The sequence below is a fragment of the Homo sapiens genome, chromosome 20 (genome assembly GCF_000001405.40).
Source record: "Homo sapiens chromosome 20, GRCh38.p14 Primary Assembly".
In the NCBI taxonomy this organism is placed as follows: domain Eukaryota; kingdom Metazoa; phylum Chordata; class Mammalia; order Primates; family Hominidae; genus Homo; species Homo sapiens.
In genome coordinates, this window is record NC_000020.11 from 14,456,766 (window position 1) to 14,469,399 (window position 12,634).

A 12,634-nucleotide genomic window follows, 5' to 3' on the forward strand; every position below is an offset into this window, starting at 1 on the left:
GAGTGCAGTGGTGCGATCTCGGCTCAATGCAAGCCCCGCCTCCCGGGTTCACGCCATTTTCCTGCCTCAGCCTCCCGAGTAGCTGGGACTACAGGTGCCCACCACCACGCCCGGCCAACTTTTTTGTATTTTTAGTAGAGACGGGGTTTCACCGTGTTAGCCAGGATGGTCTTGATCTCCTGACCTCGTGATCCGCCCGCCTCGGCCTCCTGGTTTCCGTTGGACTTTATTTTGCAGCTATTATGCTTGTCTCCCTAATACGCCTCTACTTTTACTATCCTTCTTCAAATGTGTTACTCGCAGTATTCTAAGACCTCAGAATTACATAGTGGAGTTTGTTAAAGGTATCATTATAGCATCAGAAAGTGGAGACATCAGGGGCTTTTTTCTTCCTACTTCTAATTCAGGGTAGTGTTGTGAATGGTTGCAGTTGTGAGAGGATTAAAGATTCATTAAGTGAGCTGTTTAGTGAACTATTTTCTAGTTTTTATTAGTTTTGATTCTGAATGATGATCGCTTTATTAATGCTTCATCAACACACTGGGATTTACAGCTTTCAAAGGTTACTTTTATATGCAAGATTGGATTTGGTCTAGACTGTCTGAGTTTACTAATGTTTACCATCTTGAGAACTGATAAAGTGAAGACATTCACCAAACACTTAGAAAATTTTAAAGACATACCTTTTAACTGGCTATGACATAGCAAAGAAATATTCTCTTTCTTTTACAACTCTGCTATTTAGATTCTATCCGTTTATACTTCTCATCTTAGTTGCATACAAAAATTCACATGTGTACACACTCCCCCCGTACACATACAGAGAACAATAACTTTTATTATTTCATTCATTCCCTTGGGGATCAAATATGTGTCCAATGAGAAGATCCAGGATGTCATACTACCATATACCAAGGAGACCTTTGTTGGGGAAACAAGTTGAGAAATGATGATCCGTTAATGATGTCCACAGCGGGGGCTGCAAGACATCTTACTGACAAGAGAGGAAGAAAATACTGGAAGTAGTACTTATATTTATATCATAAATTAAAAGTCAGAGGGCTGGGATCATGCCTGTAATCCTGACACTTTGGGAGGCCGAGGTGGGTGGATCACTTGAGGTCAGGAGTTCAAGACCAGCCTGGCCAACATGGTGAAACCTCATCTCTACTAAAAATACAAAAAATTTGCTCGGTGTCATTGCACGTGCCTGTAATCCCAGCTACTTGGGAGGCTGAGGCAGGAGAATTACTTGAACCCAGGAGGCAGAGTTTGCAGTGAGCAGAGATCACGCCATTGCACTCCAGCCTACATGACAGAACAAGACTCCATCTCAGAGAAAAGAAAAAAAAAAAGAGTAAATAAAGACTTACTAGTAATCAATATCCAGAGCTTACAATTTAGATATTTAGATGAGGTATCTTAAATGAAGACTATTTGACAATCCAGTGGAGTTCACAGAAGTTCCTTCTTTAAATATTAACTTTCCAATTATTGAAATATTTTATGATTGTGGCATATTTTAACATATTTCAACAAGATGATATAATGTTAATTTTATACAAGTAAGACTTTAAAAATTATGGATCATTAGAATACTTTTTAATGAGATGAGGAATGACTGGGAAAATATTTTGAATTACATTGAGGCCCACAGTTTTTCTGGTGACAAAGTTCTTGAAAATGTTATTTAAGATGAGTTATATAGATTTACACAAAAGCCAGGCTTCTGATTTGGTTGATGTTTTCTGTGGCCATCTGTGGCAGTCAGAAAGCAGTTATTTTGGCATGAGGTTCAGAGAGCTTCTAGGTTGGTGAGCACATGGAGGTGCTGTGAGTGTGGTGTACTCTGAGAGGGCATGAAAGCCCCTTCCCCTTTACTTTGGCCTATGGATCCCATCCATTTGGCTGTTCCTGAGTTGTATCCTTTACAACATACTACTAAATATAAAAGAAGGGAAAAAAAAGGCAAGCAGTTATGTTGAAAAACCTGAAATATACTGAATTAGTCTCAAACACAATAAAGTCAATGTTTTAGTAATGAGTGAAAAATTAAGTGCTTTTCAAAAGGAGCCCATGGAGAAAGCATTCTGAAATGGCTATTTGGCAAGGCTGTCATCATTTTGTTTTACTGTATGTTCTTTTCTTAAGGATCTTTGAATTGTAGACTAGTTTACATACTTTATAAATAATCTAGGTTAATATTGGCAACACATGTAACAGATATTATACTTTTATAATTATTCAGAAAATTATATATACCTTTAATCCCTCCCCAATACTCACTTTAATAAATATTAATTTATTACCAAAAGAAGGTGTGAGATCTAAGAACTCTGAGTCTTGTAGCAGGTAAGACATTTGTAAGGGCTACTTCTTAATAAAATTTTCCATTTCCTTTAGATGTTTCTAAAATTAGAAGTTTTAAAATATATTCGTTTGATGTGATTACTTAGGGGCTCAAGCAGAGAATTTAGATTGATTGGGCTTGCAATAAAAAGGGACTTTAAAAAATGACATCATCAGAAAGAAGGCAAATAATCAGCTCTTTCTGGATCAGGAAGGGGAATTCTGACAAATATTTATACTTATGAGACATATACATGGGTGCAAGAGAAGTGACATCGGAAGAAAAAGTACACATTTTTGTATTTAAAAATCTATCAATATTATATATGAACATCTGAAAGATATTTATATATAAATATACATGTAAATATTATGGCATATAAACAGATTTATATATGTGTGTATGTATGTAGGTAGGTATCTACCTATGGAATATACTTTTTCTTCAGAAGTCAGTTCTTTTGCTTTAAAACTTTCTCCTTTAGGAAAAAAATTAACACTGAATTTTACCAGTTCTAATTTTTTTTTACTTTAGGTTTTTGTTTATCTAAATGTTATAAATAATGAGCACAAAATAATTTTATGATTATTATTTCATGGATCTGTTTCTGATAGATTTGTTAAATTATACTTTAAGTTCTGGGATACATGTGCAGAACATGCAGGTTTGTTACATAGGTATCCACATGCCATGGTGGTCTGCTGCACCCATCAACCCGTCATCTACATTAGGTATTTCTCCTAATGCTATCCCTCCCCTAGTCTCTCACCCCCTGACAGGCCCTGGTGTTTGATGTTCCCTTCTCTGTGTCTATGTATTTTCATTGTTCAACTCCCACTTATGAGTGAGAACATGTGGTGTTTGGTTTTCTGTTCCTGTGTTAGTTTGCTGAGAATGATGGTTTCCAGCTCCATCCATGTACCTGCAAAGGACATGAACTCATCCTTTTTTATGGCTGCACAGTGTTCCATGGTGTATATGTGCCACATTTTCTTTATCCAGTCTATCATTGATGGGCATTTGTGTTGGTTCCAAGTCTTTGCTATTGTGAATAGTGCTGCAATAAACATACGTGTGCATGTGTCTTTATAGTAGAATGATTTATAATCCTTTGGGTATACACCCAGTAATGGGATTGCTGGGTCAAATGGTATTTCTGGTTCTAGATCCTTGAGGAATCGCCACACTGTCTTCCACAATGGTTGAACTAATTTACACTCCCACCAACAGTGTAAAAACCTTCCTATTTCTCCACATCCTCTCCAGCATCTGTTGTTTCCTGACTTTTTAATGATCGCCATTCTAACTGGTGTGAGATGGTAACCCACTGTGATTTTGATTTGCATTTCTCTAATGAGCAGTGATGATGAGCTTTTTTTCATATGTTTGTTGGCCGCATAAATGTCTTCTTTTGAGAAGTGTCAGTATGATATTGGCTGTGGGTTTGTCATAAATAACTTATTATTTTGAGATACATTCCATCAATACCAATTTATTGTGAGTTTTTAGCATGAAGGGGTGTTGAATTTTATTGAAGGCCTTTTCTGCATCTGTTGAGATAATCATGTGGTTTTTGTCATTGGTTCTGCTTATGTAATGGATTACGTTTATTGATTTTCATATGTTGAACCAGCCTTGCATCCCAGGGATGAAGCCGACTTGATCATGGTGGATAAGCTTTTTGATGTGTTGCTAATTCAGTTTGCCAGTATTTTATTGATGATTTTTGCATTGATGTTCATCAGGGATATTGGCCTGAAATTATTTTGTCATTGTTGTGTCTCTGCCAGGTTTTGGTATCAGGATGATGCTGGCCTCATAAAATGAGTTAGGGAGGATTCCCCCCTTTTTTTTTTATCGTTCGGAATAGTTTCAGAGGGAATGGTACCAGCTCCTCTTTGTACCTCTGGTAGAATTTGGCTGTGAATCTGTCTGGTCCTGGGCTTTTTTGGGTTGGTAGGCTATTAATTACTACCTCAATTTCAGCACTTGTTATTGGTCTATTCAGGGATTTGACTTCTTCCTGGTTTAGTCTTGGGAGGGTGTATGTGTCCAGGAGTTTATCCATTTCTTCCAGATTTTCTAGTTTATTTGCATAGAGGTATTTATAGTATTCTCTGATGGTAGTTTGTACTTCTGTGGGATCAGTGGTGATCGCCCCTTTATCATTGTTTATTGTGTCTATTTGATTCTTCTGTCTTTTCTTCTTTAACAGTCTGGCTAGTGGTTTATCTATTTTGTTAATCTTTTTAAAAAACCAGCTCCTGGATTCACTGATTTTTTTGAAGAGTTTTTCTTGTCTTTCTCTCCTTCAGTTCTGCTCTGTTCTTAGTTATTTCTTGTCTTCTGCTAGATTTTGAATTTGTTTGCTGTTACTTCTCTAGGTCTTTTTTTTTTATTATACTTTAAGTTTTAGGATACATGTCCACAACGTGAAGGTGCAGGTTTGTTACATATGTATACCTGTGCCATGTTGTTGTGCTGCACCCATTAACTCGTCATTTAGCATTAGGTATATCTCCTAATGCTATCCTTTCCCCCACCCCCACCCCACAACAGTCCCCGGTGTGTGATGTTCCCCTTCGTGTGTCCATGTGTTCTCATTGTTCAATTCCCACCTATGAGTGAGAACATGTGGTGTCTGGTTTTTTGTCCTTGTGGTAGTTTGCTGAGAATGAGGGTTTCCAGCTTCATCCATGTCTCTACAAAGGATATGGCTGCATAGTATTCCATGGTGTATATGTGTCACATTTTCTTAATCCAGTCTATCATTGTTGGACATTTGGGTTGGTTCCAAGTCTTTGCTATTGTGAATAGTGCTGCAAGAAACATACGTGTGCATGTGTCTTTATAGCAGCATGATTTATAATCCTTTGGGTATATACCCAGTAATGTTGGGTATATACCCAGTAATGAGCATGGAATGTTCTTCCAGTAATGGGATGGCTGGGTCAAATGCTATTTCTAGTTCTAGATCCCTGAGGAGTCGCCACACCGACTTCCACAATGGTTGAACTAGTTTACAGTCCCACCAACAGTGTAAAAGTGTTCCGATTTCTCCACATCCTCTCCAGCACCTGTTGTTTCTTGACTTTTTAATGATTGCCATTCTAACTGGTGTGAGATGGTATCTCATTGTGGTTTTGATTTGCATTTCTCTGATGACCAGTGATGATGAGCATTTTTTCATGTGTTTTTTGGCTGCATAAATGTCTTCTTTTGAGAATTGTCTGTTCATATCCTTCACCCACTTTTTGATGGGGTTGTTTGTTTTTTTCTTGTAAATTTGTTTGAGTTCATTGTAGATTCTGGATATAAGCCCTTTGTCAGTTGAGTAGATTGCAAAAATTTTCTCCCATTCTGTAGGTTGCCTGTTCACTCTGATGGTAGTTTCTTTTGCTGTGCAGAAGCTCTTTAGTTTAATTAGATCCCATTTGTCAATTTTGGCTTTTGTTGCCATTGCTTTTGGTGTTTTAGACATGAAGTCCTTGCCCATGCCTATGTCCTGAATGGTATTGCCTAGCTTTTCTTCTAGGGTTTTTATCATTTTAGATCTAACATGTAAGTCTTTAATCCATCTTGAATTAATTTTTGTATAAGTTGTAAGGAAGGGATCCAGTTTCAGCTTTCTACATATGGCTAGCCAGTTTTCCCAGCACCAGTTGTTAAACAGGGAATCCTTTCCCCATTTCTTGTTTTTGTTAGGTTTGTCAAAGATCAGATAGTTGTAGATATGCGGCATTATTTCTGAGGGCTCTGTTCTGTTCCATTGGTCTATATCTCTGTTTTGGTACCAGTACCATGCTGTTTTGGTTACTGTAGCCTTGTAGTATAGTTTGAAGTCAGGTAGCATGATGCCTCCAGCTTTGTTCTTTTGGCTTAGGATTGACTTGGCAATGCGGGCTGTATTTTGGTTCCATATGAACTTTAAAGTAGTTTTTTCCAATTCTGTGAAGAAAGTCATTGGTAGCTTGATGGGGATGGCATTGAATCTATAAATTACCTTGGGCAGTATGGCCATTTTCACGCTATTGATTCTTCCTACCCATGAGCATGGAATGTTCTTCCATTTGTTTATATCCTCTTTTATTTCATTGAGCAGTGGTTTGTAGTTCTCCTTGAAGAGGTCCTTCACATCCCTTGTAAGTTGGATTCCTAGGTATGTTATTCTCTTTGAAGCAATTGTGAATGGGAGTTCACTCATGATTTGGCTCTCTGTTTGTCTGTTATTGGTGTATAAGAATGCTTGTGATTTTTGCACATTGATTTTGTATCCTGAGACTTTGCTGAAGTTGCTTATCAGCTTAAGGAGATTTTGGGCTGAGATGATGGGGTTTTCTAAATATACAATCATGTCATCTGCAAACAGGGACAACTTGACTTCCTCTTTTCCTAATTGATTGCCCTTTATTTCCTTCTCCTGCCTGATTGCCCTGACCAGAACTTCCAACACTATGTTGAATAGGATGGTGAGAGAGGGCATCCCTGTTTGTGCCAGTTTTCAAAGGGAATACTTCCAGTTTTTGCCCATTCAGTATGATATTGGCTGTGGGTTTGTCATAGATAGCTCTTATTATTTTGAGATATGTCCCATCAATACCTAATTTATTGAGAGCTTTTAGCATGGAGGGTTTTTGAATTTTGTCAAAGGCCTTTTCTGCATCTATTGAGATAATCATGTGGTTTTTGTCTTTGGTTCTGTTTATATGCTGGATTACGTTTATTGATTTTTGTATGTTGAACCAGCCTTGCATCCCAGGGATGAAGCCCACTAGATCATGGTGGATAAGCTTTTTGATGTGTCACTGGGTTTGGTTTGCCAGTATTTTATTGAGGATTTTTGCATCAATGTTCATCAAGGATATTGGTCTAAAATTCTCTTTTTTTGTTGTGTCTCTGCCAGGCTTTGGTATCAGGATGATGCTGGCCTCATAAATTGAGTTAGGGAGGATTCCCTCTTTTTCTATTGATTGGAATAGTTTCAGAAGGAATGGTACCAGTTCCTCCTTGTACCTCTGGTAGAATTCAGCTGTGAATCCATCTGGTCCTGGACTTTTTTTGGTTGGTAAGCTATTAATTATTGCCTCAATTTCAGAGCCTGTTATTGGTCTATTCAGAGATTCAACTTCTTCCTGGTTTAGTCTTGGGAGGGTGTATGTGTCGAGGAATTTATCCATTTCTTCTAGATTTTCTAGTTTATTTGCGTAGAGGTATTTGTAGTATTCTCTGATTGTAGTTTGTATTTCTGTGGGATCAGTGGTGATATCCCCTTTGTCATTTTTTATTGCATCTATTTGATTCTTCTCTCTTTTCTTCTTTATGAGTCTTGCTAGCGGTCTATCAATTTTGTTGATCTTTTCAAAAAACCAGCTCCTGGATTCATTGATTTTTTAAAGGGTTTTTTGTGTCTCTGTTTCCTTCAGTTCTGCTCCGATCTTAGTTATTTCTTGCCTTCTGCTAGCTTTTGAATGTGTTTGCTCTTGCTTCTCTAGTTCTTTTAATTGTGATGTTAGGGTGTCGATTTTAGATCTTTCCTGCTTTCTCTTGTGGGCGTTTAGTGCTATAAATTTCCATCTAAACACTGCTTTGAATGTGTCCCAGAGATTCTGGTATGTTGTGTCTTTGTTCTCGTTGGTTTCAAAGAACATCTTTATTTCTGCCTTCATTTCGTTATGTACCCAGTAGTCATTCAGGAGCAGGTTGTTTAGTTTCCATGTAGTTGAGCAGTTTTGAGTGAGTTTCTTAATCCTGAGTTGTAGTTTGATTGCACTGTGGTCTGAGAGACAGTTTGTTATAATTTCTATTCTTTTACATTTGCTGAGGAGAGCTTTACTTCCAACTATGTGGTCAGTTTTGGAATAGGTGTGGTGTGGTGCTGAAAAGAATGTATATTCTGTTGATTTGGGGCGGAGAGTTCTGTAGATGTCTATTAGGCCCTCTTGGTGCAGAGCTGAGTTCCATTCCTGGATATCCTTGTTAACTTTCTGTCTCATTGATCTGTCTAATGTTGACAGTGGGGTGTTAAAGTCTCCCATTATTAATGTGTGGGAGTCTAAGTCTCTTTGTAGGTCATTCAGGACTTGCTTTATGAATCTGGGTGCTCCTGTATTGGGTACATATATATTTAGGATAGTTAGTTCTTCTTGTTGAATTGATCCCTTTACCATTATGTAATGGCCTTCTTTGTCTCTTTTGATGTTTGTTGGTTTAAAGTCTGTTTTGTCTGAGACTAGGATTGCAACCCCTGCCTTTTTTTGTTTTCCATTGGCTTGGTAGATCTTCCTCCATCCCTTTATTTTGAGCCTTTCTGTGTTTCTGCACATGAGATGGGTTTCCTGAATACAGCACACTGATGGGTCTTGACTCTATCCAATTTGCCAGTCTGTGGCTTTTAATTGGAGTATTTAGCCCATTTATATTTAAGGTTAGTATTGTTATGTGTGAATTTGATCCTGTCATTATGATGTTAGCTGGTTATTTTGATTGTTAGTTGATGCAGTTTCTTCCTAGTGTTGATGGTCTTTACAATTTGGCATGTTTTTGCAGTGCCTGGTACCGGTTGTTCCTTTCCATGTTTAGTGCTTCCTTCGGGAGCTCTTTTAGGGCAGGCCTAGTGGTGACAAAATCTCTCAGCATTTGCTTGTCTGTAAAGTATTTTATTTCTCCTTCACTTATGAAGCTTAGTTTGGCTGGATATGAAATTCTGAGTTGAAAATTCTTTTCTTTAAGAATGTTGAATAGTGGCCCCCACTCTGTTCTGACTTGTAGAGTTTCTGCTGAGAGATCAGCTGTTAGTCTGATGGGCTTCCCTTTGTGGGTAACCTGACCTTTCTCTCTGGCTGCCCTTAACATTTTTTCCTTCATTTCAACTTTGGTGAATCTGACAATTATGTGTCTTGGAGTTGCTCTTCTCGAGGAATATCTTTGTGGCGTTTTCTGTATTTCCTGAATTTGAATGTTGGCCTGCCTTGCTAGATTGGGGAAGTTCTCCTGGATAATATCCTGCAGAGTGTTTTCCAACTTGGTTCCATTCTCCCCGTCACTTTCAGGTACACAAATTGGACGTAGATTTGGTCTTTTCACATAGTCCCATATTCCTTGGAGGCTTTGTTGATTTCTTTTTATTCTTTTTTCTCTAAACTTCTCTTCACGCTTCATTTCATTTATTTCATCTTCCATTGCTGATACCCTTTCTTCCAGTTGATTGCATTGGTTACTGAGGCTTGTGCTTTTGTCACGTAGTTTTTGTGCCTTGGTTTTCAGCTCCATCAGGTCCTTTAAGGACTTCTCTGCATTGGTTATTCTAGTTATCCATTCGTCTAATTTTTTTTCAAAGTTTTTAACTTCTTTGCCATTGGTTCAAACTTATTCCTTTAGCTCAAAGTAGTTTGATCATCTGAAACCTTCTTCTCTCAACTTGTCAAAGTCATTTTCTGTCCAGCTTTGTTCCATTGCTGGTGACGAGCTGCGTTCCTTTGGAGGAGGAGCGGTGCTCTGATTTTTAGAGTTTCCGGTTTTTCTGCTCTGTTTTTTCCCCATCTTTGTGATTTTATCTACCTTTCGTCTTTGATGATGGTGATGTACAGATGGGTTTTTGGTGTGGATGTCCTTTCTGTTTGTTAGTTTTCCTTCTAACAGTCAGGACCCTCAGCTGCAGGTCTGTTGGAGTTTTCTGGAGGTCCACTCCAGACCCTGTTTTCCTGGGTTTCAGCAGTGGTGGCTGCAGAACAGCAGATATTGGTGAACCACAAATGCTGCTGCCTGATCGTTCCTCTGGAAGTTTTGTCTCAGAGGAGTACCCGGCTGTGTGAGGTGTCAGTCCGCCCCTACTCGGGGGTGCCTCCCAGTTAGGCTACTCAGGGGTTGGGGACCCACTTGAGGAGGCATTCTGCCCATTCTCAGATCTCAAACTGAGTGCTGGGAGAACCACTACTCTCTTTAAAGCTGTCAGACAGGGACATTTAAGTCTGCAGAGGTTATTGCTATCTTTTGTTTGTCTGTGCCCTGCCCCCCAGAGGTGGAGCCTACAGAGGCAGGCAGGCCTCCTTGAGCTGTGGTGGGCTCCACCCAGTTCGAGCTTCCTGGCTGCTTTGTTTACCTACTCAAGCCTGAGCAATGGCAGGCGCCCCTCCCCCCAGCCTCGCTGCCACCTTGCTGTTTGATCTCAGGCTGCTGTGCTAGCAATGAGCGAGGTTCCGTGGGCGTAGGACCCTCCGAGCCAGTTGCGGGATATAATCTCCTGGTGTGCCATTTGATAAGCCTGTTGGAAAAGCGCAGTATTAAGGTGGGAGTGATCCGATTTTCCAGGTGCCATCTGTCACCCCTTTCTTTGACTAGGAAAAGGAATTCCCTGATCCTTTGTGCTTCCCGGGTGAGGCGATGCCTCTCCCTGCTTTGGCTCACGCATGGTGCGCTGCCCCCACTGTCCTGCACCCACTGTCTGGCACTCCCCAGTGAGGTGAACCCGGTTGGAAATGCAGAAATCACCTGTCTTCTGTGTCACTCACCCTGGGAGCTGTAGACTGGAGCTGTTTCTATTCGGCTATCTTGGCTCCACCCCTTCTCTAGTTCTTTTAATAGTGATGTTAGGATGTTGATTTTAGATCTTTCCAGCATTCTCCTGTGGGCATTTAGTGCTTCACATTTCCCCTAAACACTGCTTTAGCTGTGTCCCAAGGATTCTGGTACGTTGTGTCATTGTTCTCATTAGTTTCGAAGAACTTATTTATTTCTGCCTTAATTTCATTATATATCCAGCAGTCACTCAGGAACAGGTTGTCCAGTTTCCATGTAGGTGTGTGGTTTTTAATGAGTTTCTTTATCCTGAGTTCTAATTTGATTGCACTGTGGTCTGAGAGACTGTTTGTTATCATTTCTGTTCTTTTGCATTTACTGATGAGTGTTTTACTTCCAATAATGTGGTCAATTTTAGAATAAGTGTGATGTGGTGCTGAGAAGAATGTATATTCTGTAGATTTGGGGTGGAGAGTTCTGTAGATGCCTATTAGGTCTGCTTGGTCCGGAGCTGAGTTCAAGTCCTGAATATCCTTTTTAATTTCCTGTCTTGTTGATCTGTCTAATATTGACAGTGGGGTGTTAAATTCATCCACTATTATTGTGTGGGAGTCTATGTCTCTTTAGAGGTCTCTGGGAACTTGCTTTATGAATCTGGGTGCTCCTATATTGGGTGCATATATATTTAGGATAGTTAGCTCTTCTTGTTGCATTGATTCCTTTACCATTATGTAATGCCCTTCTTTTTATTTTCTGATCTTTCTTCGTTTAAAGTCTGTTTTATCAGAGACTAGGATTGCAACCCCTGCTTTTTTTTTTTTTGCTTTCCATTTTTTTGGGAAATCTTCCTGCATTCCTTTATTTTGAGCCTCTGTGTGTCTTTTTTTGGGGGGGGGCGTTGGGGGCACCGTCTCACTCTGTCACCGAGGCTGGAGTGCAGTGGCTCGATCTTGGCTCACTGCAACCTCCGCCTCCCGGGTTCAAGCAATTCTCTGCCTCAGCCTCCTGAGTAGCTGAGATTACAGGCACATGCCACCACACTTGGCTAACTGTCGTATTTTTAGTAGAGTTGGGGTTTTATCATGTTGACCAGGCTGGTCTTGAACTCTAGACCTTGTGATCCACCCGCCTTGGCCTCCCAAAGTGCTGGGATTACAGGCGTGAGCTGTCACGCCCAGCCTCTATGTGTGTCATTACATGTGTGTCATTACATGGGTCTCCTGAATACAGCACCCCGATGGGTCTTGACTCTTTATCCAATTTGTCAGCCTGTGTCTTTGAATTGGAGGATTTAGCCCATTTACATTTAAGGTTAATATTGTTATGTGTGAATTTGATCCTGGCATTATGATGCTAGCTGGTTATTTTAGTTGATGCAGTTTCTTCATAGTATCGATGGTCTTTACAATTCGGTATGTTTTTGCAGTGGCTGGTATCGGTTTTTTCTTTCCATATTTAGTGCTTCCTTCAGCAGCTCTTGCAAGGCAGGCCTGGTGGTGACAAAATCTCTCAGCATTTGCTTGTCTGTAAAGGATTTTTTTTCTCCTTTGCTTATGAACCTTAGTTTGCCTGTATATGAAATTCAGGGTTGAAAATTGTTTTCTTTAAGAATGTTGAATATTGGCCCCCACTCTCTTCTGGCTTGTAGGGTTTCTGCAGAGAGATCTGCTGTTAGTCTGATGTGCTTCACTGTGTGGGTAACCTGACCTTTCTCTCTGGATGCCCTTAACATTTTTTCCTTCGTTTCAACCTTGGTGAATCTGACGATTA

General features: G+C 39.7%; 1 protein-coding gene across 3 annotated transcripts in view, besides 2 other annotated features; it reads left to right on the forward strand.

The window, feature by feature from the left end:
* MACROD2 (mono-ADP ribosylhydrolase 2) overlaps positions 1-12,634 on the forward strand; it is a 2,057,682-nt gene that overhangs the window by 461,250 nt on the left and 1,583,798 nt on the right. The gene's annotated exons all lie outside the window — the stretch shown is intronic.
* Positions 10,006-10,507: an enhancer, noted in NCBI's record as "H3K4me1 hESC enhancer chr20:14447417-14447918 (GRCh37/hg19 assembly coordinates)". NCBI's record gives its function as "activates a minimal SCP1, AML or CMV promoter by ChIP-STARR-seq in primed H9 embryonic stem cells {active_cell/tissue: H9 hESC(primed)}" and the evidence as "EXISTENCE:reporter gene assay evidence [ECO:0000049][PMID:30033119]".
* Positions 10,508-11,007: an enhancer, noted in NCBI's record as "H3K4me1 hESC enhancer chr20:14447919-14448418 (GRCh37/hg19 assembly coordinates)". NCBI's record gives its function as "activates a minimal SCP1, AML or CMV promoter by ChIP-STARR-seq in primed H9 embryonic stem cells {active_cell/tissue: H9 hESC(primed)}" and the evidence as "EXISTENCE:reporter gene assay evidence [ECO:0000049][PMID:30033119]".